We start from the raw sequence: 24675 nt of genomic DNA on the forward strand, positions 1-24675 counted from the left end.
ATTTTTCCAGGTACTGTCTTTGTTAAACTTTAGAATTTTATTATAAATTCATGAAATACAGTCTACCTCAAAGGAGGCCCACATTGGACCCACCCCTAGTGAAATGACTAAATTAACAAGATAATGCATTTATAACTTGCTTCCTTGTTCATAAAATGCTTACATATATATTAATATTTCACTTGATTCTCAAACCAAATTTTGAAGTAGGTAGGCATTATTGTCCATTTTCAGATTTCAAATTATGTATGTGCTCACTGAAAATTAGTGAGTGGGGAAACTGAGCTTCAAAACTTGGTATTCCGACACCAAAGGCTATGGTCTTGCTGTTGCATCACCCTGACAACCCTAATCGTGAGTCAGAGGGCCTCTGAGTCTGTGCCTCAGGATTCCGGAGTAGATGAAGGTTTCACACAGTCAAGTATCGGCTAGACAATCATACTTTCTGTCACGTAACTTCATGAAGTCCAAGGGATCAGAACCTCATCTCATCTTTATTTTCTTCAGAGATCCAGTATAGGCTCTCACATTCAGAAGCAGAAGAGCAGATCAATCTTAAATTTTAATGTGGTTTTGAGGCCCTTTGTGATTCGTGCCTGTGGAGACAAACTTGACTAAGGTGAAACCCACAGTTTCACAGATGCATTTCTGCCATGAGTATATTTCATAAAAAAAAGAATGCAAAAGAAAGAGGACAGAAGTCCCTGAATAAGGCAAAACCTTGCAAGTGATGGGGTTCAGGACATATTACCCCAAAATACGTCACCTTGGCATTTGAGAAAAATAGCAGAAGCAGGAAAGTTACTCTCTGACCTTCTCCCACCCTCCTTCCCTGAAGCAAGGTCAAAAGACCCACATCTTAGAAGTACCATTCCTGTTCCTGGAGATAACAAACATCCTTGTCTGTGAAGACCCAGGGACATATTACCCCAAAATATGTCACCTTGGCATTTGAGAAAATAGCAGAAGCAGGAAAGTTACTCTCTGACCTTCTCCCACCCTCCTTCCCTGAAGCAAGGTCATAAGACCCACATCTTAGAAGTACCATTCCCATTCCTGGAAATAACAAACAACCTTGTCTGTGAAGACCCAATGATACAGAGAAGAATCTGTACAAACCTGCCTTGCTAACCCACTTAGTCTAATCATACCTCTCCATGACTATCCACTTCTCCATTAAACCTAGCATACAATACACATAGGTTTACCTGTTCTTTGGATCTTCATTTCTTTATGAAGTCTCCCATATCACATAAACTTTATAGTAAATACATATTTGTGATTTTTCTCTTGTTAACCTCTTTTTTTTAATAGAGGCCTCAGCCATAAAACTAGCAATGGGTGAGAAAAGAAATCTTTTCTTCTCTACAAGCCTGTTTCCTTATGTATAAAGTATAAAGAAGAGGATTAAACCCATTTAGGTCAAAAAATTATCTGATTCAAAAAGTACATTGGCCTAATCGTATTCATAAGCAATAAAAGAAGTACTGTACACATTTCAAGCTTCTGATTTTATTTTTTAAAATAGCATTATCTTTGTGTGCCAATGAAGATATGTAACAGTACAAATTTTAAATATATTTTGCTGTTATCAGTTTACTGTTTATTATTAGTTTACTATTTACATGATTACATAATTTGTTGCAAAATGCTCTGTGTTTTCATAATTCTTCACAAGTGTGGGTCCTAGTCAACGTAATGGGACTTTTCCATTGGACCTACATGGAAAGCCAAATAATTTTTTGCATTGTAAGAATGTACAAGTTATACTCCCATAGTAATACATACAGAACTACTGGCCTATCACTGAAGAATATCTAAAGGACTATCAATCAAGTCCTCAGTCTGCACCCAGCATAAAGAAAATTCTTTTTCAATGAGAACTCTGAAGAAGCAGCCTTTTCATTGTTGCTATTTCAATATAACTGTGGGAGGCAATGCTTGGGCACTGACTGGGAACTACCTCCATAAGCATATGAATAAAGTAAGAGGTTTTTAAAGCACTTTCTAAGAGGATTTGCAAAAACAGACTTTCTGGGAATGAATATTACCTTCATTTTCAATAGGAGGCCATGTTATCATAATAAAAATAAGCTATTGGATCTTCTCACATATATTATAATTTTAAGAGTTTTAAATAACAAAAGGGACTTAATACATCTGAAGATTAAATTACTGAGAAATGACATTTATTTTTAACCTTAAAAATTAGTATTTTAAAAGGCATTTCTAGTGAACAGAAACAGAGTGCTATATTCAAGGTGAAAAGCTTAAAAATAGTAATTATTTGTTTTATGTCCTTCAATTTTTAACAGTTAATATGTCAAGAACAGCAAATATACACATTCTTTCTACTCAACATTGTAATAATTATAAATCAGCATGATTCAGGATATAACAGTTCTATTTCTAAGTTTGGCTTAAATGGTAGAATATTTTTTAAATCCAGTTTAGTATATTATTCTTTTTAAAGTTCCTTTAAGAAACATCTCAAAATAGATTCTTATTATACTGAATTTAACATGAGTAACAAATGAGTTAAAAGGAGTTTGCAAGCTGACAACTTGTTTATAGATTTTACAGATAGAGCTTAAACTAGTCAGGATCTTACAAAACTTCTGAGAACTTAGGAAAACCAAACAGGATTTGTGTTGCTTCTGTGTAAGCAAATCTTTGTAAATTTGTTCATGTCTCTTTGTGACAGATGATGGCAAACAGTCAAATGGTACTTTTCCCTACCAGGGTGGCACTTCCTGGCAGCTTAATCACCCATTTTTAGGGTGTTCTTCCACTCATAGAGATCATTTTGCCTTCAGTCTTCCTCTTAGCAAGAAAAGTGAACATCTCATTTTCATTAACCTTTTTGTCTCACCCCAGCCAGCTAAGAGTTGATGGTGAAATATCAGACAACTGAGCAAATAGAAATCAGTTTTGATCTCTAATGCCTAACCTTTACTTGGCCCTTAATACTGCCTTGCAATTTTACACTCCTGTAGTCAACTCACTCTCCTATATTCACAATAATTATTTCAAACTTCTACTCATCTCTTATACTCTCATTACTTTGCATCCTCCCTTAAAAAAAAAGCGTCATTCAAAAAATTTCTTCAACCCTTCAACTTCCTGCACCAAATCAATGCTACAACTCCCCTGTATTCTTTCTGATCTGTAAAAATGGAGGAAGTGTTTCCTCTTACATGCAAGGCCGATCTCTCCACTATTCTGGCATATATTCCTTTATATATTTCCAGGAATCTCATGCTTTTTGCTCAAGTTTTAACTGTTTTCAGTAAGCAACATATTTAAATGTCTAAAATTGAAAAATTACAAAGGGATTATGACAGAAAATTTCTTTTTTATTTCTAGCCCCAGTCATCTATCTTCTCTTAGGGGCAGGTATACTGCCGGAGATATTCTACGCACACCTAAGTAAATCCATACAAATATTTTCTCAAGCTTAAAAAAAAAGCAACACACTTTATACACTGTGGCATATCTCGTTTTTTTCACTTAAAATACATCTTAGACACAATATTAATTCACAAAGTATTGATTCATTCTTTTTAAATTGCATAGTATAAATTAGGGATGTTGCATAATTTATTTAACCTGACCCTATTGATGGACATTTACATTGTCTCCAAACTTTTACTATTATAAGCAACATTGCAATGAATATTTGTGTACATTATTTCACATATCTGAAAATATGTTTATGAGTTAAATTCCTATTAATGGGATTACTTGGCTAAAGGGTAAACGCCATTGTAATTATGATAAATATTGCCAAATTATCCTCCGTAGAGATCAAATCAAATGACAGTCCCACCAAAAATGTATGAGAGTGTAGGGGCCATGTGAAAACATCCCCTTTGCCCTCTGAAGGTTTGCTGAAAATCACTAAGAGGCAGGCTAAAAGGAGAAAAGGCATATAAAATTATTTGATTATACTTTTATGCATATGGGAGCTTTCAGAATGAATACCCAAAGAAACAGGGAAAACTGTCTATTTTTATTCTCAGGTTAAATGAAGTATGTACAGCCATGTAGAAATATGACTGAACACAAAGGATATTATCTAATGCTAATAGACTGAGTGGGGAAACCCAGTAAGGCCTGTCTGCCTAGATTCTTGACCTCTCGAGCATGCATTTCTTCCTTCTGGACATGGGGCAGGACCCCCTCTGGAATGGAAGTCTTATGCCCTACAATCAAACAAGACAAGTCAGATAATTTCTTTATGGCCAATTTTTACACAGAAAATGGGGGCATGGGGGCAAACTGGAGTAATATTTTTAAGTTTTATGGCTGGTTTTAGGGGAAAGGGTCTCTGGTTTCTGTGATCTGCCTTGGGAAAAGTGGATTCTAGTTGTGGCTAGCCTCAAGGAAGAATGAAAGGCCAGAGACAGGAGGGGAGGAGAAGGTCAAAGAAACACCTTTGCTTCTGAGGCTACTCCTGAAGCCTTCATTTTGGGGTATTGTTTTCTAAGCCCCAACAAGCAGTAAAACTCACCTAACACAAGGCCATCACAAGGGTTTTGCTGATTTCATAATTTTAATTAATATTTTGCCTATTACAAATTGAGCCTCTTCAAATATTTAAAATCCATTTCTGATTGCTTTTCTCTGTTCATATCCCTTTCCTATTTTCTCATGTTATACTTTTAGAAAATTGAATTGTAGACATTATTTATATGTAAAGATGGCTTTTGTAATGTGTGTTGTATTTTTTTTTTTTTTTGCCATGCAGGAAATTTTTTATAATCAGATTTATTAAAGTTTTACTTTGATGACTTCTGGCTTTTGTTATATACTTGGAAAATCCTTTTCTAATCCATGATTACAAAAAAACCTGATGGTTTCTTCTATTACTTTTGTAATTTATATTTTGAAGTTTTCTTCATATAAATTTTACGTATTTCTTGTTAAGATCATTTCTAGGTATTTTATCATTTTTATTGGTATTGTAAGTGGATTTTGTCTTTTATTAGATCTCCTAACTCACTGTTGTTTCAATATATGAGGGCTGCTAATTTCTGTATACAAATTTTTTAGTCAGTCACCTTATTGAATTCTGATCTTAAAAAAATTGTCTTAAGATTTTCACAAATATATTACTTGAAAATTGTAATAATTTAACCTCTTCCTTTCTCATATTTAAACCTCAAAATTCTTTTTTCATTTTCTATGTTTGGTATCCTCAGAATAATGTTAGACAATATTGTAATGGTAAGCATTCTTGTCTTGTTACTCAGGTAATCTTATATCTTAAAACACCTTCTAACTTCCTAATATTATTAGCTTCTCCCTACTTGCTATATCTTTTTAATCTTGAAAAACTCTCTGTGGATGTCATGCTGACTTGCAGCCACTGCTCTCTCACCTTTCTTTTAAATGTCTTGGAAAAGTTATCTACAGTTGACCCTTGAACAACATGGGTTTGGACTCCATGGGTTCACTTACACGTGGATTCTTTTCTGCCTCTGCTAACTTAGAGACAGCAAGACCAACCCCTCCTCTTCTTCCTCCTCCTCAGCCTACTTAATGTGAAAATGATGAGGATGGAGACCTTTACGATGATCCACTTCCAGTTAATAAATAGTAAGTATACTTTATCTTCCTTATGATTTTCTTAATAACCTTTTATCTGGCTTACTTTCTTGTAAGAATAAAGTATGTCATACATATAACATACAAAATACCTGTAAATCAATTGTTTATGTTATCAGTAATGCCAACAGTAAGCTATTAGTAGTTAAGTTTCAGGAAGTCAAAAATTACACGTGGAATTTTGACTGTGCAGGGAGTCAGCACCCCTAACTCCTGCATCGTTCAAACGTCAACTGTATTCTTTTTTTTTAATTCTTCTCAAATTCTCATCTTCCATTTATTCCACCATTAGTTTCAACCTAGCTTCTGTTTCCATTACTAGGTAGGTCAGGTGCACTGACCTGTGAATAATGTGGCCCTCAAGAAAGTCTTTTGTGGTGGTGACAGTTGCAGGGAAACTGAGTTTCAGAAGTGATCATGGCAGCAGTGTAAAAAGTGGTGTCTAATGCATAGTTCAAGTCTTCTCCCTGCTGCCAAATGTGGCAGCTAGTGTCCATTGGCTGCATCAATAGTATCTTCTCTTGATTACTTCTGCAACATTTGGTTGGGCATTGTTTCTGCTGCTGGACTCTAATGTGGTTTACCACACCTCTCAGAGATTTAAAAAAATACCTAACACCCTTTAAACAAATTCAGTGTCTGTTTATATTAGCAACTGTTTGGTTTCTGTTACTTGCTCTTGCTGAGATTACCAATGTATTCATTCAATCATAGTATTCAACATAATTAATTACTTCCTCTTTCTAGAAACATTCTTGTCCTTCAGTTTCTATGATGCCACATTTTAATTTCCCTTTTTCCTTTCTGGCCACTTCTCATTTTCTTTTTCTGGCACTACCTTTTCTTCAGCATGTCATTTAAATATTCCCATTTCTTAGGATTAGACCTTATTCTTCTCACAATATGCTCATGTCCTAACAGATCTCACATATTTACATGGCTGCAAATATAATCAATTTGCTGATGACTTCTAAACTTACTTCGCAGCATAGATTGATGTTGAGTTCTACATCTACATATATAACTATACTCAGCATATCTGCTTGTATATCTCATATGCAATTTGAACTCAAAGTTATGATATTTGTCCCTAAAATTGTCTTATCTCAGTGAATTACATCATCATCTACCCAGTGCTCATGTCAGAAATCTTAGAATCATCCTTTACTTTTTCCATCTTACCCCCTAAATCCAACCAAGCCCCAAGTCCTATCAATTTCTTTTCAGCTCTGACAACTTCTCCACTTTTATCACTTTGGATCTAACTACCATAATTTCTTATTTGAATTCTTATATCCACTATTGAATTCACTCTTATTTTCACCAAATCCATTCTCTTCGTGGCAAATTGCTCTATTTAAAAATGGAAAATTGATATCTCTTCTCTATTGTGAATCCTTCAATGGGTTCCCATTGCTGTTACAATGAAATCCAATATACTTCATACAACCCATAAGAATATCCTTTACCTGGTCCCTTTTGACATCATTAGGCTCTTATGCCATTACTCTATCCTGTATTAGTCAGTGTACAGCTGGAAAAACAGAATCCAAGAACCGTTTCAATGAATGAAATATTACCTGGAGGTCAGGAAGCTGTTATCCCCTTCCACTAGCCTTTACTTTCCTTTGATATGTTGGAGGCACTGTGCCTATTTCTGCTGCCTTGTAACAGAAATTAATATGAAATGTGTTTACCAAAGACTTAACAAAATGTAGTTTGCAGGCTTTCAGCTCCTGTGATTGAGAGGGGAACACAAATAAAAGGCATATGTTCCTGCTCTAATTTTTCAAATTAACCAAACTTGGCTTCTAAACCCCTCTATCAAGACACACACACACACACACACACACACACACACACACACACACAAGCACTTTCCATAGGGTTAATATTAATTTATCCTTTGGGTCTTAGCCTAAACAACAGTTCATCAACAAAGCTATTTTTGTCCACAAAATATTAATTTTGTTCCCTCAGGTGTATCTTCTGGCACCCTGTGCCTTTCCTCAGAACATTCATAAAATTGAGACTAAATAATTAAATGCATGATATTCATTTAATATCTACCATTCATGCCAAACTGAAAAGTCATAGAAATGGAAGACATATATGACTTATTCATTGCTACAACTCCACTGGATGGAGCATGGAAGATGTGGAATAAATATTTGCTGAATAAATGCAGTGTATCTTCTATTAGAGTATTCAAAAGCGCAGTTCCTTCATTTATTGTTAATAATCCCTTCAGGGACAAAAACTGTTCAGAATGGTTATTTTACCATAGGCAAAGAGTCCCTTTCTCAGGGATTTCTCTTATGTTATACAGAAATTTACCAAAAAGTGACATATTCATTGTGATGATTAATTTTAGGTGTCAACTTGACTGGACTAAGGCATACCCACAGAACTTGTAAAGCAATACTTTTAGGTGCGTCTGTGAGGGTGCTTCCAAAGGAGATTGGACTGTAAGTCAGTGGACAGAGTGGAGAAAATCTGCCTCCATGTCGGCAGGCACCATCCAATTGGCTGGAGGCCCAACAGAACAAAAAAGGACAGAAAAAGATTTCCCCTCTCTCTCTCCTGGAGGTTGGATGCTCTCCTCTCTCTGTCCTTGGACATCAGAACTCCAGGCTCTCTAGCCTTAGGACTCCAGGACTTACACCAGTGGCAACCCCACCTTGGATTCCCAGACCTTTGATCTCAAACTGAGAATTGCACCACCCACTTCCCTGGTTCCAAGGCTTTTAAACTTATACTAAGCCATGATGCTGGCATTCCAAAATCTTCAGCTTGCAGATAACCTGTGGTGGGACTTCTCAGCTTCCATAATCACATGAGCCAATTCCTCTAATAAATTCTATCTATCTATCTATCTATCTATCTATCTATCATGTACCTATTTATCTATCTATAAATCAATCATATATCTACCTATCTATTTACCTACCTACTTACATATGTATGTATCCTACTGGTTCTATCTCTCTGGAAAACCCTGACTAATATAATTGTATTGGAAGCATGAATGCCTAGATATTTTTCAATAATCGAATATATTTCACATTAATTTAAGTAACCATGAAGATAGTTATGAAAATAGATAGATAGGAAAGGAGTCCCAAAAAAGAGAATAATTAGAGAGCAAAGATTCCCTCTAATCTTGAGGTTCTAGCACATCTAGTTACAGAAACACAACAAAATCTGTGAAAACAGATTTTCACAGATTTGAAGACAACAAAATATAAAAACAATGAAATCTGTAATGTTAGCACATTGGGATGTCAAGGTGCAAGTCCAGGAGTTTGAGACCAGCCTGGGCAACATAGCAAGACCCTGTCTCTACAAAAAAATTTTAAAAATTAGTTGGACATGGTGGGGCACACCTTGGTCCCAGCTACTGGGAATATGAAATCAACAAAATCTGTTTACCCAAATATTCACATACATTTTATGCCATAATGATATTTTCAAATAGTGAATGGCAACAGCTGAGCATTAAAGTATTTGATTATGAAACAAATGGAACTGATTCCCTTGACAAGCTGGCTGATAGTGCTCCTATTTAATTCTATCTACTAGGTCAACTCTTTTGGCTCTTTATTCCCATAACAAAAAGACTCTAGGGTACAAGAGGGCAGCTGAACTATCAGCAGACTGTTATCTTTGAAGCTGGGTTCCTGATTCTGAAATTCAGTGTTGGATCTATTTTTAAGAGGTGAATTGTATCTATGCTCTTCCATCTTCAGCTGCTTATAATATAGCCATTTATAGGTTCTGATTTGTTGGGGAGGGTGGAGATAATGTTACAGTCAACAAACTTTGAAATTATTGCTGAGAGAGAGGAAAGGGTGACAAGAGAAGTTACATTAGTGTTAGTAGAAGAGCTGAGGCCGGACTGGCTTGTCTGCCATAATATAAAAGAATCTTGGAAGATGTCTGGAGTCCAGGGTCTAAAACCCCTCGTGGCCTTTTAAACACCAAGCTCTGTGCCAAAGGATGGAAGGCTGTCCTGCCACATCACAAATCTAAGCCAAGGTCATAGCACCCCTCATGGCTTGGAAAGAATCCAGGGCTCAGGGCATAAAACCCCTCGTGGCCTCTGAAATGTGCACAGACTTGTTGGTTGCTCTCCCAGGCTCATAAACATGTTTTCCATTATCTCAGGTAGCAGAGCATATTACATATGCGTCAAAGAAAATGCTAAACCGTCACAGCTATGCTTGATGCACCGCTACCTTTCTACCACCATGTCCTCATGTCCTCATGTCCTCAGCTGTTTATCCCCACATCCACACATCCTCACCACCTGCTTCTTTGATCACCAATAAATAGTGTGGGCTCCCAGAGCTCAGGACCTTCACAGCCTCTATACCAGCATTGGCCCCTGGATCCATCTTATGCACTCTTAACTTGTCTTTTCTCATTCCTTTGACTCCACCAGACTTTGTAGCCCCCACGGCCTGGTGTTGGGTCTGATCACCCCAACACATTAGAAGGTAATTGATGTAGTTCATCTAGGAATGCTTTTTTCTCAGAGAAATAAGCAGTGTTATCCAATGAGACTGTATGCGCTAAGGAAATGGATGGAGGCTTGAGGAGAAAGGGAAAAATTTGAAGCAGTCACTGTAAAGGCTTCAAAAAGATGACTATAGATTCTTGTATAGCTTTGAGAACCTGAAGAGAAGTTTGATACCATGAAATATCAGGAATTACAATTGGCACCTTGTTGAGATTTTATGAAGCTACTCCTGATAGGTATGGCAGGAGTGCTGAATGCCATTAGTGGGGGTTAGCAAAGCACACAAGGGCTCATGAGCACATTATTGAAAAGTTTAACATGAAGTCCAGTCTGAATATAAAGGCAGAAAAGCTAAATGGGAGTAATGGATTTGGAGATAAGTATTGGAAGACAAAGACAAAATTGGAAGACAAAGAATAAATTTAACAGTGATGATAAATTGGTAGGAAAATAGGAGGCTAGGATAGAAAAAACTCTTAAATGAGAAATTCCTACTGAGACCAGAGGTTCTCAGGAGATTGAAAACAACTGATTTTTTCAAGGACTTCAAGTAGAAGCAAAATTAAAAAAATAGACAAAGAAGTCCAAAGCAGGGGAGGGGGGTTGTTGAAGAAGGGCTACAAACAATGGTCTAGAAGTAGATTACCCAGCCCTATTTCAAGCAACATGGGTTGAAGAAAGTGGAATAAATAGAAGCTTTCTTTTAGAAAAGGCTGCTGAAGATCTTAAATTTTAAGATAAAAATTCATGTTTCATTTAGTTTGAGAAGGTAGAGTGAGATGTTTGTTTATGGTAGAACAGGGTCCTTAAGGGCCTTATGAGGAAAAGAAAGAGACTACTCAGGAATGGAGTGGGCCTAGGGCCTAGGGAGGCAAGCTAGATAAGGTAGTTAGAAATAAACTGAGTTTTGATTTCCCAGGCATGATGGCCGAATAGGACCAGCTCCGGTCGGCAGCTCCCAGTGAGATCAACACAGAAGGCAGATGATTTCTGCATATCCAACTGAGGTATCTGGTTCATGTCACTGGGACAGGTTAGACAGTGGGTGCAGCCCACGGAGGGCAAGCTGAAGCAGGGTGGGGTGTTGGCTCACCCGGGAAGTGCAAGGGTTGGGGAACTCCCTTCCCTAGACAAGGGTAGCCATGAGAGACCGTGCCAAGAGGGAGGGTGCTATCCAGCCCAGATAACTATGTTTTTCCCATGGTCTTCACAACCCATAGGCCAGGAGATTCCCTCAGGTGCCTACAGCACATGGCCCTGGGTTTCAAGCCCAAAACTGGGCGGCTGTTTGGGCAGTCATCAAGTTAGCTGCAGTAGTTGTTTTTTTGTACCCTAGTGGTGCCTGGAATGCCTGTGAGACAGAACCGTTCACTCCCCTAAAAAAGGGGCTGAAGTCAGGGAGCCAAGTGGTCTAGCTCAGCAGCTCCCATTCCCACGGAGCCCAGCAAGCTAAGATCCACTGGCTTGAAATTCTTGCTGTGAGCACAGCAGTCTGAAGTTGACCTGGGATGCTCAGGTTTGGTGGGGGGAGCAGCATCTGCCATTACTGAGGCTTGAGTAGGCAGTTTTCCCCTTACAGTGTAAACAAAGCCCCCAGGAAGTTGAGACTGGGCAGGGCTCACCACCGTGCCGCAAAGCCAAGGTGCCCAGACTGCCTGTCTAGATTCCTCCTCTCTGGGCAGGGCAGCTCTGAAAAAAAGGCAGCAGCCCCAGTCAGGGACTTATAGATAAAACTCCCATCTCCCTGGGAAAGAGCACCTGGGGGAAGGGATGGCTGTGGGTGCAGTTTCAGTAGACTTAAACGTCCCTGCCTGCCGACATGGAAGAAAGCAGTGGATCTCCCAGCACAGTGCTCGAGCTCTGCTAAGGGACAGTCTGCCGCCTTAAGTGGGTCCTTGACACCTGTGCCTCCTGACGGGGGGGACACCTCCCAACAGAGGCCAACAGTTACCTCATACAGGAGAGCTCTGGCTGGCATCCGGTGGGTACCTGTCTGAGATGAAGATTCCAGAGGAAGCAACAGGCATCAATCTTTGCTGTTCTGCAGCCTCCGCTGGTGATACCCAGGCAAACAGAGTCTGGAGTGAACCCCCAGCAAACTCCAGCAGAACTGCAGCAGAGGGGCCTGACTGTTAGAAGGAAAACTAACAAACAGAAAGCAACAGCATCAGCATCAACAAAAAGGACAACCACACAAAAACTCCATCCGAAGATCACCAACAGCAAAGGTCAAAGGTAAATAAATCCACAAAGATGAGGAAAAACCAGCGCAAAAAGGCTGGAAATTCCAAAAACCAGAATGCTTCTTCTCTTCTAAAGGATCACAAATCATCACCAGCAAGGGAACAAATCTTGATGGAGAATGAGTTTGATGAACTGACAGAAGTAGGCTTCAGAAGGTGGGTAATACCAAACTCTCCTGAGCTAAAGGAGCATGTTCTAACCCAATGCAAGGAAGCTAATAACCTGGATAAAAGGTTAGAGAAATTGATAATTAGAATAACCAGTTTACAGAAGAACATAAATGACCTGACAGAGCTGAAAAACACAGCATGAGAACTTCATGAAGCATAAACAAGTATCAATAGCTGAATCGACCAAATGGAAGAAAGGCTATCAGAGACTGTTGATCAATTTAATGAAATAAAGCATGAATACAAGATTAAAGAAAAAAGAATGAAAAGGAATGAATAAAGCCTCCAAGAAATATGTGATTATGTGAAAAAGACCAAACGTACGTTTGATTGGTGTACCTGAAAGTGATGGGGAGGATGGAACCAAGTTGGAAAACATACTTCAGGATAATATCCAGGACAACTTCCCCAACCTAGCAAGACAGGCCAACATTCAAATTCAGGAAATAAAGAGAATACCACAAAGATACTCCTCAAGAAGAGCAACCCCAAGACACGTAATCATCACATTCACCAAGGTTGAAATGAAGGAAAAAAATGTTAAGGGCAGCCAGAGAGAAAGGTCGGGTTACCCACAAAGGGAAGCCTATCAGACTAACAGCAGATCTCTCTGCAGAAACACTACAAGCCAGAAGAGAGTGAGGGCCGATATTCAACATTCTTAAAGAAAAGAATTTTCAACCCAGAATTTCATATCCAGCCAAACTAAGCTTCACAAGTGAAGAAGAAATAAAATCCTTTACAGACAAGCAAATGCTAAGGGATTTTGTCATCACCAGGCCTGCCTTACAAGAGCTCCTAAAGGAAGCACTAAATATGGAAAGGAAAAACCGGTATCAGCCAATGCAAAAACAAACCAAAATGTAAAGACCATTGACACTATGAGGAAACTGCATCAACTAATGAGTAAAATAACCAGCTAGCATCATAATGACAGGATCGAATTCACACATAACAATATTAACCTTAAATGTAGATGGGATAAATGCCCCAATTAAAAGGCACAGACTAGCAAATTGGATAAAGAGTCAAGACCCATTGGTGTGCTGTATTCAGGAGACTCATCTCACATGCGGAGACACATATAGGGTTAAAATAAAGGGATGAAAGAATATTTACCAAGAAAATGGAAAGAAGAAAAAAAAGCAGGGGTTGCAATCCTAGTCTCTGATAAAACAGACTTTAAACCAACAAAGATCAAAAAAGACAAAGAAAGGCATTACATAATGGTAAAGGGATCAAAGCAACAAAAAGAGCTAACTATCCTAAATATATATGCACACAATACAGGAGAACCCAGATTCATAAAGCAAGTTCTTAGAGACCTACAAAGAGACTTAGACTCACATACAATAATAGTGGGAAATTTAACACCCCACTGTCAATATTAGACAGATTAACGAGACAGAAAATTAACCAGGATTTTCAGGACTTGAACTTAGCTCTGGACCAAGCAGACCTAATAGACATCTACAGAACTCTCCACCCCAAATCAACAGAATATGAATTCTTCTCAGCACCACACAGCAATTGTTCTAAAATCGACCACATAATTGGAAGTAAAACACTCCTTAGCAAATGCAAAATAATGAAAACCATAACAGTCTCTCAGACCACAGTGCAATCAAATTATAACTCAGGATTAAGAAACCCACTCAAAACCACACAACTACATGGAAACTTAACAACCTGCTCCTGAATGACTACTGGGTAAATAAGCAAATGAAGGCAGAAATAAATAAGCTCTTTGAAACCAACGAGAACAACGACACAATGTGCCAGAATCTCTGGGACACAGCTAAAGCAGTGTTTAGAGGGAAATTTATAGCACTAAATGCCCACATCACAAAGCAGGAAAGATCTAAAACTGACACCCTAACATCACAATTATAAGAACTAGAGAAGCAAGAGCCAACAAATTCAAAAGCTAGCAGAAGACAAGAAATAACTAAGATTAGAGCCAAACTGAAGGAGATAGAGACACAAAAACTCTTCAAAAAAAAAATCAATGAATCTAGAAGTTGGTTTTTCGAAAAGATTAACAAAATAGATAGAACACTAGCCAAAAGAATAAAGAAGGAAAGAGAGAAGAATCAAATAGACACAATAAAAAATGATCAAGGGGATATCACTGTGGATCCCACAGAAATAGAAACTACCATCAGAGAATACTAATAAGCACCTCTATGCTAATAAACTAGAAAATCTAGAAGAAATTGATAAATGTGTGGACAAACACACCCTCCCAAGACTAAATCAGGAAGAAGTCAAATCCATGAATAGACCAGTAACAAGTTCTGAAATTGAGGCAGTACTTAATAGCCTCCCAACCTAAAAAAGCCCAGGACCAGAAGGATTCATAGCCGAATTATACCAGAGGTACAAAGAAGAGCTGATACACTTCCTTCTGAAACTATTCCAGACAAAAGAAAAAGAGGGACTCCTCCCTGACTCATTTTATGAGGCCAGCATCATCCTGATACCAAAACCTGGCAGAGACACAACCAAAAAAGAAAATTTCAGGCCACTATCCCTGATGAACATCTATGTGATAATACTCAATAAAATTCTGGCAAACCGAAACCAGCAGCACATTATAAAGCTTATCCACCACAATCAAGTTGGCTTCATCCCTGGGATGCAAGGCTGGTTCAACATAGGCAAATCAATATACAGAATCCATCATAAATAGAACCAATGACAAAAACCACATGATTATCTCAATAGATGCAGAAAAGGCCTTGGATAAAATTCAACACTCTTCATGCTAAAAACACTCAATAAACTAGGTAATGATGGACTGTACCTCAAAATAATAAGAACTATTTATGACAAACTCACAGCCAATATCATACCGAATAGGCAAAAGCTGGAAGCATTCCCTTTGAAAACCGGCAGAAGACAAGGATGCCCTCTCTCACCACTTGTATTCAACAAAGATTGAAAGATCTGGCCAGGATAATCAGGCAAGAGAAAGAAATCAAGAGTATTCAAACAGGAAGAGAGGAAGTCAATTTGTCTCTGTTTGCAGATGACATGATTGTATATTTAGAAAACCTCATCATCTCAGCCCAAAAACTCCTTAAGCTAATAAGCAACTTCAGCAAAATCTCAGGATACAAAATCAACGTGCAAAAATCACAAGCATTCATATACAGCAATAATAGACAGAGAGCCAAATCATGAGTGAACTCCCATTAACAACTGCTACAAAGAGAATAAAATACCTAGGAATACAACTTACAAGGGATATGAGGGACCTCTTCTAGGAGAACTACAAACCACTGCTCAAGGAAGTAAGAGAGGACACAAACAAATGGGAAAACATTCCATGCTCATGGGTAGGAAGAATCAATATAATGAAAATGGCCATACTGCCCAAAGTAATTTATACATTCAATGCTATTCCCATCAAGCTACCATTGACTTTCTTCACAGAATTAGAAAAAACTACTTTAAATTTCATACGAAATCCAAAAAGAGCCCATATACCCAAGACAATCTTAAGCAAAAAGAACAAAGCTGGAGTCATCATGCTACCTGGCTTCAAACTACACTACAAGGCTACAGTAACCAAAAGAGCATGGTACTGGTACCAAAACAGATATACAGGCCAATGGAACAGAATAGAGGCCTCAGAAATAACACCACACATCTACAACCATCTGATCTTTGACAAACGTGACAAAAACAAGCAATGGGGAAAGGATTCCCTATTTAATAAATGGTGTTGGGAAAACTGGCTAGCCGTATGCAGAAAACTGAAACTGGACTCCTTCCTTACACCATACACAAAAATTAACTCACGATGGGTTAAAGATTTAAATGTAAGACCTAAAACCATAAAAATCCTCGAAGAAAACTTAGGCAATACCATTCAGGACACAGGCATGGGCAAAGACTTCATGAATAAAACACCAAAAGCAATTGCAACAAAAGCCAAAATTGACAAATGGGATCTAATTAAACTAAACAGCTTCTGCACAGTAATAGAAACCATCATCAGATTGAACAGGCAACCTACAGAATGGGAGAAAAATTTTGCAATATATTCATCTGACAAAGGGCTAATATCATGAATCTACTAGGAACGTAAACAAATTGAAAAGAAAAACAAAGAAGCCCATCAAAAAGTGGGTGAAGGATATGAGCAGACACTTTTCAAAAGAAGACATTTATGCAGCCAATAAACATGTGAAAACAAGCTCATCATCACTGGTCATTAGAGAAATGAACATCAAAACCACAATGAGATACCATCTCATGCCTGTTAGAATAGCGATCATTAAAATGTCAGGAAACAACAGATGCTGGAGAGGATGTGGAGAACTAGGACCACTTTTACACTCTTGGTGGGAGTGTAAATTTGTTTAACTGTTGTGGAAAACAGTGTGGTGATTCCTCAAGGATCTAGAACTAGAAATACCATTTGACCCAGCAATCCCATTACTGGGTATACGCCCCAAAAATTATAAATCATTCTACTACAAAGACACATGCACATGTATGTTTATTGCAGCACTATTCACAATAGCAAAGACTTGGAACCAAGCCAAATGCCCATCAATGATAGACTGGATAAACAAACTGTAGCACATACACACCATAAAATACTATGCAGCCATAAAAAAGAATGAGTTCATGTCCTCTGCAGGGACATGGATGAAGCTGGAAACCATCATTCTCAGCAAACTAACATAGGAACAGAAAACCGAACACTGCATGTTCTCACTCATAAGTGGGAGCTGAACAATGAGAACATATGGGCACAGGCAGGGGAACATCAAACACTGGGGCCTGACATGTTATGGGGGGCCAGGGGAAGGATAGCATTAGGAGAAATACCTAATGTAGATGACAGGTTGATGGGTGCAGCAAACCACCATGGCACGTGTAACCATGTTACCTATGTAACCTATGTAACCAACGTGCACGTTCTGTACGTGTATTAAACTTAAAGTGTAATAATAAAAATAAATAAACTGAGTTTTATGTTAAGGTTCTTGAGTGTTGGTCAAAGAAGTTAAGGTAAGGGGATTGGGGGATGGATTGGTTTTCTACTGCTGCTATAACATTACCACAGATCCAATGGCTTACAACACAAATTTATTATCTTATAGTTCTGTTGGTTAGGAGTCTAACACAGATATCACTGGCCGAAATCAAGGTATGGGCAGGGTTGTATTCCTTTCTGGAGGCTCTAAGGGGAAGATGTGTCTTTACTAGTTTTTTTTTTTTTTGAGATGGAGTCTTCGTCTGTTGTCCAGGCTGAGGTGCAATGGCGAGATCTCAGCTCACTGCAACCTCAAACTCCCAGGCTCAAGTGATCTTTCTACCTCAGCCTCCAGAGTAGCTGGGACCACAGGTGTGCACCACCATGTTCACCTACTTTTTAAAATTTTTTGTAGAGACGGGGTCTTGTTATGTTGCCCAGGCTGGTCTCAAACTCCTGGACTCCCACTCTGACCTTCCGACATGCTAAGATTACAGATAGGAGGCACTGCGCCCAGCCTGCCTTTTCAATCTTCTAGATATTGCCATATTACTTGCTTCACTGTTCCCTTCCTCTATCTTCAAAGCCAGTAACCTGTGTCTTACTGACCATTCTTCTGTGGTCACATCTCTTTTACTCTTGTCTTCTACCTTCCTCTGACTTTTAAGGACCCTTGTGATTACATTGTGCCCAACTGGATAATCCAGGATAATCTCCCTATTTTTAAGGTCAGCTGATTGGTAATCTTAATTCTATCTGCAAACTTAATCCCCTTTTGCCATATATTGTTCACAGGTTTGGGGGATTAAAATGTAGACCTCTTGGGGAGTGTTATTCAGGAGGTAAACTGCAGAGGTTTGTAAACAAAAAAGAATGATGCTGAATTAACACAATCTGGTTAATGTAAGTCAGAGTTTATCAGAATTGGTTTTGAGATTTCAATTGGATTGTTGGCAACATGAGCCTAATCAAAATTCCACTCCCGGGCTGCTATGATTGATATGCAATTTCTAAACGTATGTTTAAAATACTAATACAGCTTGGGTAACATAGTGAGACCCCCCCCCCATCTCTACAAAAATTAAAAATCAGCAGGTATGGTGGTACATGCTGCTAGTCCCAGCTACTTGGGAAGCTGAAGTGGGAGGATCATTTGAGTTGGGGAAGTCGAGGCTGCAGTGAGCTATGATGGTGTCACTGCACTCCAGCCTGGGTGACAGAGCAAGACCCTGTTTCAGAAGTATAATAAAATACTAATATTAATATTACTGATAATAAAACTACTACCACACCTAACATTTCTTGGGCTTTATATATTAGGCCCCTTTTAAACTAATTATATGAACTAACTTTCTCCTGAAATATGGTGAGGAAGAAATAACCATTTTCCCTATTTTCACATGAGGAAAGTAAGATAGTAACTTGCCCAGGGTTACAAGATGAGGATTTGAACTGAAACCCAGGCAATGCGGATCCAGGGGTTTTACCATTACATTATACTCCTTCTGTGTGTCTCTCTGGGTTGGGGGGCATGGCGCGTCTGATGAATATCCGCTTTGGGTTAGATATGAAAGGGTACAAGTTAGAAACAATGCTTTAGGTGATTAATTAGGGCAGGATCTTTTGAAATACCCATGGGGGAAGAAGTGGCTTTTTACTGTACTGAACCTACACAGACACCAGACTTCTTTAGTTCAGTTCAATCTAAATACAACAGCAAAACCATCTACTCTTTTCTTTTCCCTCTCTTCCTCTCTTCAACAAATATTTTTTGGTTATTGACAATGTTAAAATAAACTGCACTGGACATTACATAAAGCTGGTTAACTCAGACATGAGACTCCAAGGAACAATATTTAGCGGAAGTAAATGATAAAATCTGCCCTAAAATTTTGCTCAATAATTTGTAAAATCATCAATTGCATTATTGTAAACCTTTGTCATTTGGTTTTTCCACCCCTATTTTCTTCTCTATGTTCTGTCTTCTAGTATCTCTCTGCCTCTACCCATATTTTCATTACCTTCTTTGAGTGCTTTTTTTTCATCACTTTGCTCTCATGCCTTTTGTTTTTTGTTTCTCTCAGTTGTCTAGATTATTACCTCCTAGCTAGCCACACCATATATTCAACCCACTCTGGAAATAAACTATTTTATTTTAAAATACTAAAATTCCCCTGAATTCATTTTCTCCTTTCCATCTGCTTTACCACTTTATTTCATCCATGAATGAAAGTTCCGACCTTCATTCACTCTGCTCCTTACAACAAGTTTTTTTTTACTAAACTCGTACTTATAATTCTCCCAAATCCCCCGACAATATATCCGTCTTCACATTTTTCTCTGACTTTTCCAGCAAATCTAATCTTGTCATTCCCCTACTCAAAATTCATTTGTCCTTATGATCGACCAGATAAAAATCCAAAGCCCCTTACAAGGTACAAGCAATCCCTACCTACCCATCTAACTTCATTTTTACCTTATCTCCCAATTCCCCTTTGTGTGGTACTCTCTAGCAGCACAGGCATGCTTGTGGGTTACAGAACACATCGTACTTGGTCATGCCTCTGTAACTTTCCATCTATCATTCTCCTATTCCCTCTGCTGCTTTTCCTCCATCCATATGTAAAATTTCTAGTCATTCTTTAAGACTGTTCAAATATTATCTGTGCTGTGAAGGATTCCCAGTCTCTTTTAGGCAGACCTGAGAGTCCTCCTCTGCTCTCTCACATACTGTACATCCCTCCAATGTTTGCAAGAATATTGTTATTACTATTTGGAGTCAGGACTTGGGGTTTTCTATGTCCAGTACCTAACACAGACTCCAGTATATAGTAGTTTAATCATCTTTATTAAAGCTACCTACCCTATTATTTAACCTACCTACCATAATGATATAGTATAGCTCTTCTTTCTGCCTGCATATCAGTTTCTCGAACTATATTTTTTGGAACACCAGCACCTCTACAGGAGTTGTATACTATGAATAGAGTTAACCTTTAGATAGTTATGTAAAACGTAAGTTTGTTTTCATTGTAAGTTTAAAAGTCCAAATAATCTTTTCTCAAATAATTTTTAAAATTTCATCTGTTTGTACTGATACATAATAGATGTACATATTTTGGGGGGGTACATGTGACAACACATTCATGTAATTTGTAAAGATAAAATCAGTATAATTGGGATATCCATCACTTTAAATATTTGTTTTTTCTTTCTGCTAGAAACAGTTGAATTATTCTCTTCTAGCTATTTTGAAATACCTAATAGATTATAGTAAACTATAGTCACCCTAGTGACCTATCAAACACAAGGTCTTCTTTTTTCTATCAAATTGTATATTCCTTTCGTTTTTAATTTCATAATTCTCAAGTGCTAAGTTCATAAAAAAATCACCTAAACCATCTAAAAATGAGAAATTTATGTTTGTTTTACCATGACCTGGATGAGGAGCAACAACAAAAATACATAGCATATGTATATATTGCTGAAATGACAACATAATTACCTCCAAATTTACTTATTTCCAACCCATCTCTGCTAACCTGGATTACTGCCAATGAAAGAATAAATTTTGTTCATTTGCCTTGTTTTTATTTACATTAATTGATGGAGTTATGTTGGCTCTGTGATTTTAAGAAGCTCATCTTAGAAAAAAGTAACTGTTACAAGAGAAGATTTTGGGAAATAGTCACTGAAAAATAAGTTGAGGTCCAATCAGGAATACAGAAACTATACTATGTAACCAAGGGAATATTATGAAAATGTTACACAGGGATGGGGGGATGGTTCTCTAGATCAAAAAGGGAAGCACTGTGGTGACCTAGAGATATAAGCTGTGGGAAGCTGTTACTACCCTTAGAACTAGAAGGACAAAGGGGAAGGTTTGTGTTATTAGAACTCAGAAGTTTAGAGGAGCCATCCTCCTTAGCTGGGGCTTGGACCTCTGAGAAGTAGAAACAGCCTAGTTGGTGCTGGTACTTTTGAGGAGTCATGAGGACTCTGGGACTTAGAGTGTAAAAGAAGTGGGAGGCTGGAATCAGCTGCTAAAGACAGGATGACAGGTTATTACCACTGAGGTGATGCTGATAGCAAGAAGCAAATGGAAAGGAACAAGTCCCTTTTCTCTTACTCCAGGGGTCCACATTTCCTCCAGTGACCTCTATTGATAGAACCCGTCAGGAAGCCAGTCGGTAAAGGAGATACACAGTTTGCAGAGTCCTAGCACCAGCCTTACAAAACCAGGGCAGAACTATGAATACAGAGTGGAGAGATAATAGTTTAATAAACAGCACTAATAACAATTATATCAAGAGTGTTAAGCAATGGTCAGAGTAACCACCTTCCAGCTTAAAAAAACTATACATGATCAATCCTATTGTTCAAGACCTTAAAGAAGTATAAACCTCTACTGAATGAGACATGCACTTGAGTATGCTATGTCATAATAATCATTTAATCATCCAGTTTGGAATCTATATGGCAGACATTATTCTAGGTACTTGGGGTTTTTGTTTTGTTTTGTTCTGGTTTTGGTTTTTTTTGGGGGACAGGGTCTTTCTCCAGCTGCCTAGGCTAGAGTACAGGGATGCAATCTTGGCTCACTGCAGCCTCGACCTCCTGGGCTCAGCTGATTCTCGTACCTCAGCCTTCAAAGTAGCTGGGACTACAAGAGCACATCACTACACCCGGCTAATTTTTTTTTTTTTGTATTTATAGGAGAAAGGAGGTTTTGCTATTGATATGGTTTGGCTGTGTACCCACCCAAATCTCATCTTTAATTGTAGCTCCCACAATTCCCACGTGTTGTGGAAGGGACCTAGTGGAAGGTGATCGAATCATGGGGGCAGGTCTTTCCTGTGCTGTTCTCCTGATAGTGAATAAGTCTCATGAGATCTGATGGTTTTATAAAGGGGAGTTTTCCTGGACATGTTCTCTTGCCTGCCACCACTTTGCTCCTCCTTGCCTTCTTCCATGATTAAGGCCTCCCAAGCCATGTGGAACTGTGAGTCAATTAAACCTCTTTCCTTTATAAATTACACAATCTCAAGTATGTCGTTATTAGCAGCATGAGAACAGACTAACACAGCCATGTTGCCAGGCTCGTCTTGAACTCCTGGACCCAAGCAATCTGCCAGCCTTGGCCTCCCAAAGTGGTGGGATTTCAGGCAGGAGGCACTGTGCCTGGCCTACTTGAGTTTTAACAGTGAAAATATAGATACTTGCTTGCCCTTGTGGACTGTTCATTCTAGTGAAAGGGAACAGACAGTAAATTAGAGACATGTCAGATGGTAAGGGCAATGGAGAAAATAAAGCAAGTTAAGGGCATAGGGATTAGGGTGGGGGAAGCTCTTTCATATGATGTGGTCCTGGAGAGCCTCAATGATAAAGTTAAATTTTATCAAAGATTCAAAGGAAATAGGAGGGAGAAAGTCATATGAGCATACAGGGAAGATCTGTTCAGTAAGAAAGACTTGCATTTAATAAGAGTAAGGTTGGTGAACGTTTTGCAAGTGGATGGACTTTTCTGCGATTTTGCAGTTTGTTTTTTATTATTTGCATAATTCTCTTTACAAAAACTGTGATCCTAACTGGATAACATAAGCTTATTATCAAATATAGTACAAAGTTCAAATATTCTACAAAATATCATTCATCTCTTTTACTAAAGGAAAAGCTATGCGTCCTCACACAGCAGGTTATAGAATTTGCTGATGTTAAGAAGAATTAGCTGAAGTATATAATGTCTTACCTCTCCTGTAAAATACCTCCTTTGTTTCAGAGTCAGCTATGAAATTCTAATAATAGTCTCAAACTTTTCACTTGGATTATTTGAGTAAATGTAAAATGCCCAGCACTGTACATAATTACTTCTTTGTTAAGATGTCAACCTTTGTTTTTTAGTTAAGAGTTAATGAACCTTGATAATTGGCAAACAATCTTTGAGCCGAAAGTAGGATGGACACCATCAGTACTCTTAACCCAAAACAATGAAACTATTGTTGGCATTAGGATTACATTGCTTTCTGTTCAGATAATTTTTTTCTGAAAAAATGCATGTATACTTTGTTATTCAATGGTGTCAGAAATATTAATAAGTTAGCTATAATTAAGTATTCCTTAAACAGTTTGTTATTCAAACAATAAATGTGAACTTATGTATAAAGTTAGAAGACTAAAAATGGCATAGAACGCACTAATACTCTCATGCTAAAGGTTTTAAAAAAATTAATAGTATTTCTGCCCTTGAAAAACATGAGTTGTATATGTAATGTAAAATCTTTTTCTGTGGCCAGTAAAAATTTCCAACAGGAAAGCTTGGGGTGAGTATGTCTAAAATTCACTCATCTGAGGAGAATGTAATTTAAGATTGGGCACTTTTATTATAGAAAGTAGAAATTTGAGTTATCTTACTTTTTAACTTAAAGAATCATCTTGAGAGATCAATGGTGTCCACTGGAAGGCAAGAACTTGGTTCTGGCAGGAAAACCACCACTGGCTGGTAGTATTTGCAGAGCACTTAACCTCTGTGCCTAGGTTCTTGTAGCTGTCAAGTAGATAATAGTAATTGCTACCTTCCGTGGGAAGTGAGCTTGTGCTTTGACATCTTTAGTTGAAGATGCTGTATAAACACAAATTATTATTATTAGAATATAATACATATATGCACATAAAACACCAGCATGGTGCTCTTTTAATGCTTATATAACATCTATAAATAATGCTCTTCCATGCTCTCTCTTCACTTTAGGTCAGAGAATATCATAGCAGACCACTATTCAATTTCTGTAAGTATGGAGGAAATATATTTGTTAAAGCTCCATGTCATCTTTTTGAGACGAACTTAACCTGCTAATTCCTTATGGTCTCTGTAGCAATTGCCCGATGGCCCCTACCCAAGTTAAGCCTTTGGTATTTTTTGAAATGTTGGCTAAATTACTTTTCTTGGAGATGTGGAGCCATCAGGGAAAACCTGGAAGAATGAAATTGGCTAGTGATATTAAAATTTTGGTTGTTTAACATTTAACTGAGTCTCAACAACGTGTTAAAGTGCTATCTAAACAGATAATTAGCTAGTGGCTGCGCAGTGAGCTGTCTAAATTTAGCAGTGAAATTAGGTTTAGGGAATGCGAATATAG

At 38.0% G+C, this 24675-nt stretch overlaps 2 long non-coding RNA genes across 3 annotated transcripts in view, besides 1 other annotated feature; both read right to left on the minus strand.

The window, feature by feature from the left end:
* Positions 1-24675, minus strand: part of LOC151760 (putative uncharacterized protein) — a 183623-nt gene that overhangs the window by 157170 nt on the left and 1778 nt on the right. For both annotated transcript variants that reach the window (XR_007096272.1, XR_007096273.1), the window contains exon 2: positions 23951-24158. This is a non-coding gene — a long non-coding RNA (putative uncharacterized protein LOC151760). The remainder of the gene's footprint in view (positions 1-23950; positions 24159-24675) is intronic.
* NECTIN3-AS1 (NECTIN3 antisense RNA 1) lies at positions 2-24646 on the minus strand. The gene is made up of 4 exons (NR_045114.1): positions 24477-24646; positions 23951-24158; positions 7191-7346; positions 2-596 (listed from the first exon to the last, which is right to left on the minus strand). It is a non-coding gene; the product is annotated as an NECTIN3 antisense RNA 1 (long non-coding RNA).
* Positions 12-1211: an enhancer, noted in NCBI's record as "MED14-independent group 3 enhancer chr3:110764172-110765371 (GRCh37/hg19 assembly coordinates)". NCBI's record gives its function as "activates an origin of replication core promoter dependent on BRD2, BRD4, P300/CBP and CDK7 cofactors, and independent of MED14, by STARR-seq in HCT116 cells {active_cell/tissue: HCT116}" and the evidence as "EXISTENCE:reporter gene assay evidence [ECO:0000049][PMID:35650434]".

This window comes from Homo sapiens, chromosome 3, assembly GCF_000001405.40.
Source record: "Homo sapiens chromosome 3, GRCh38.p14 Primary Assembly".
Lineage (NCBI taxonomy): Eukaryota > Metazoa > Chordata > Mammalia > Primates > Hominidae > Homo > Homo sapiens.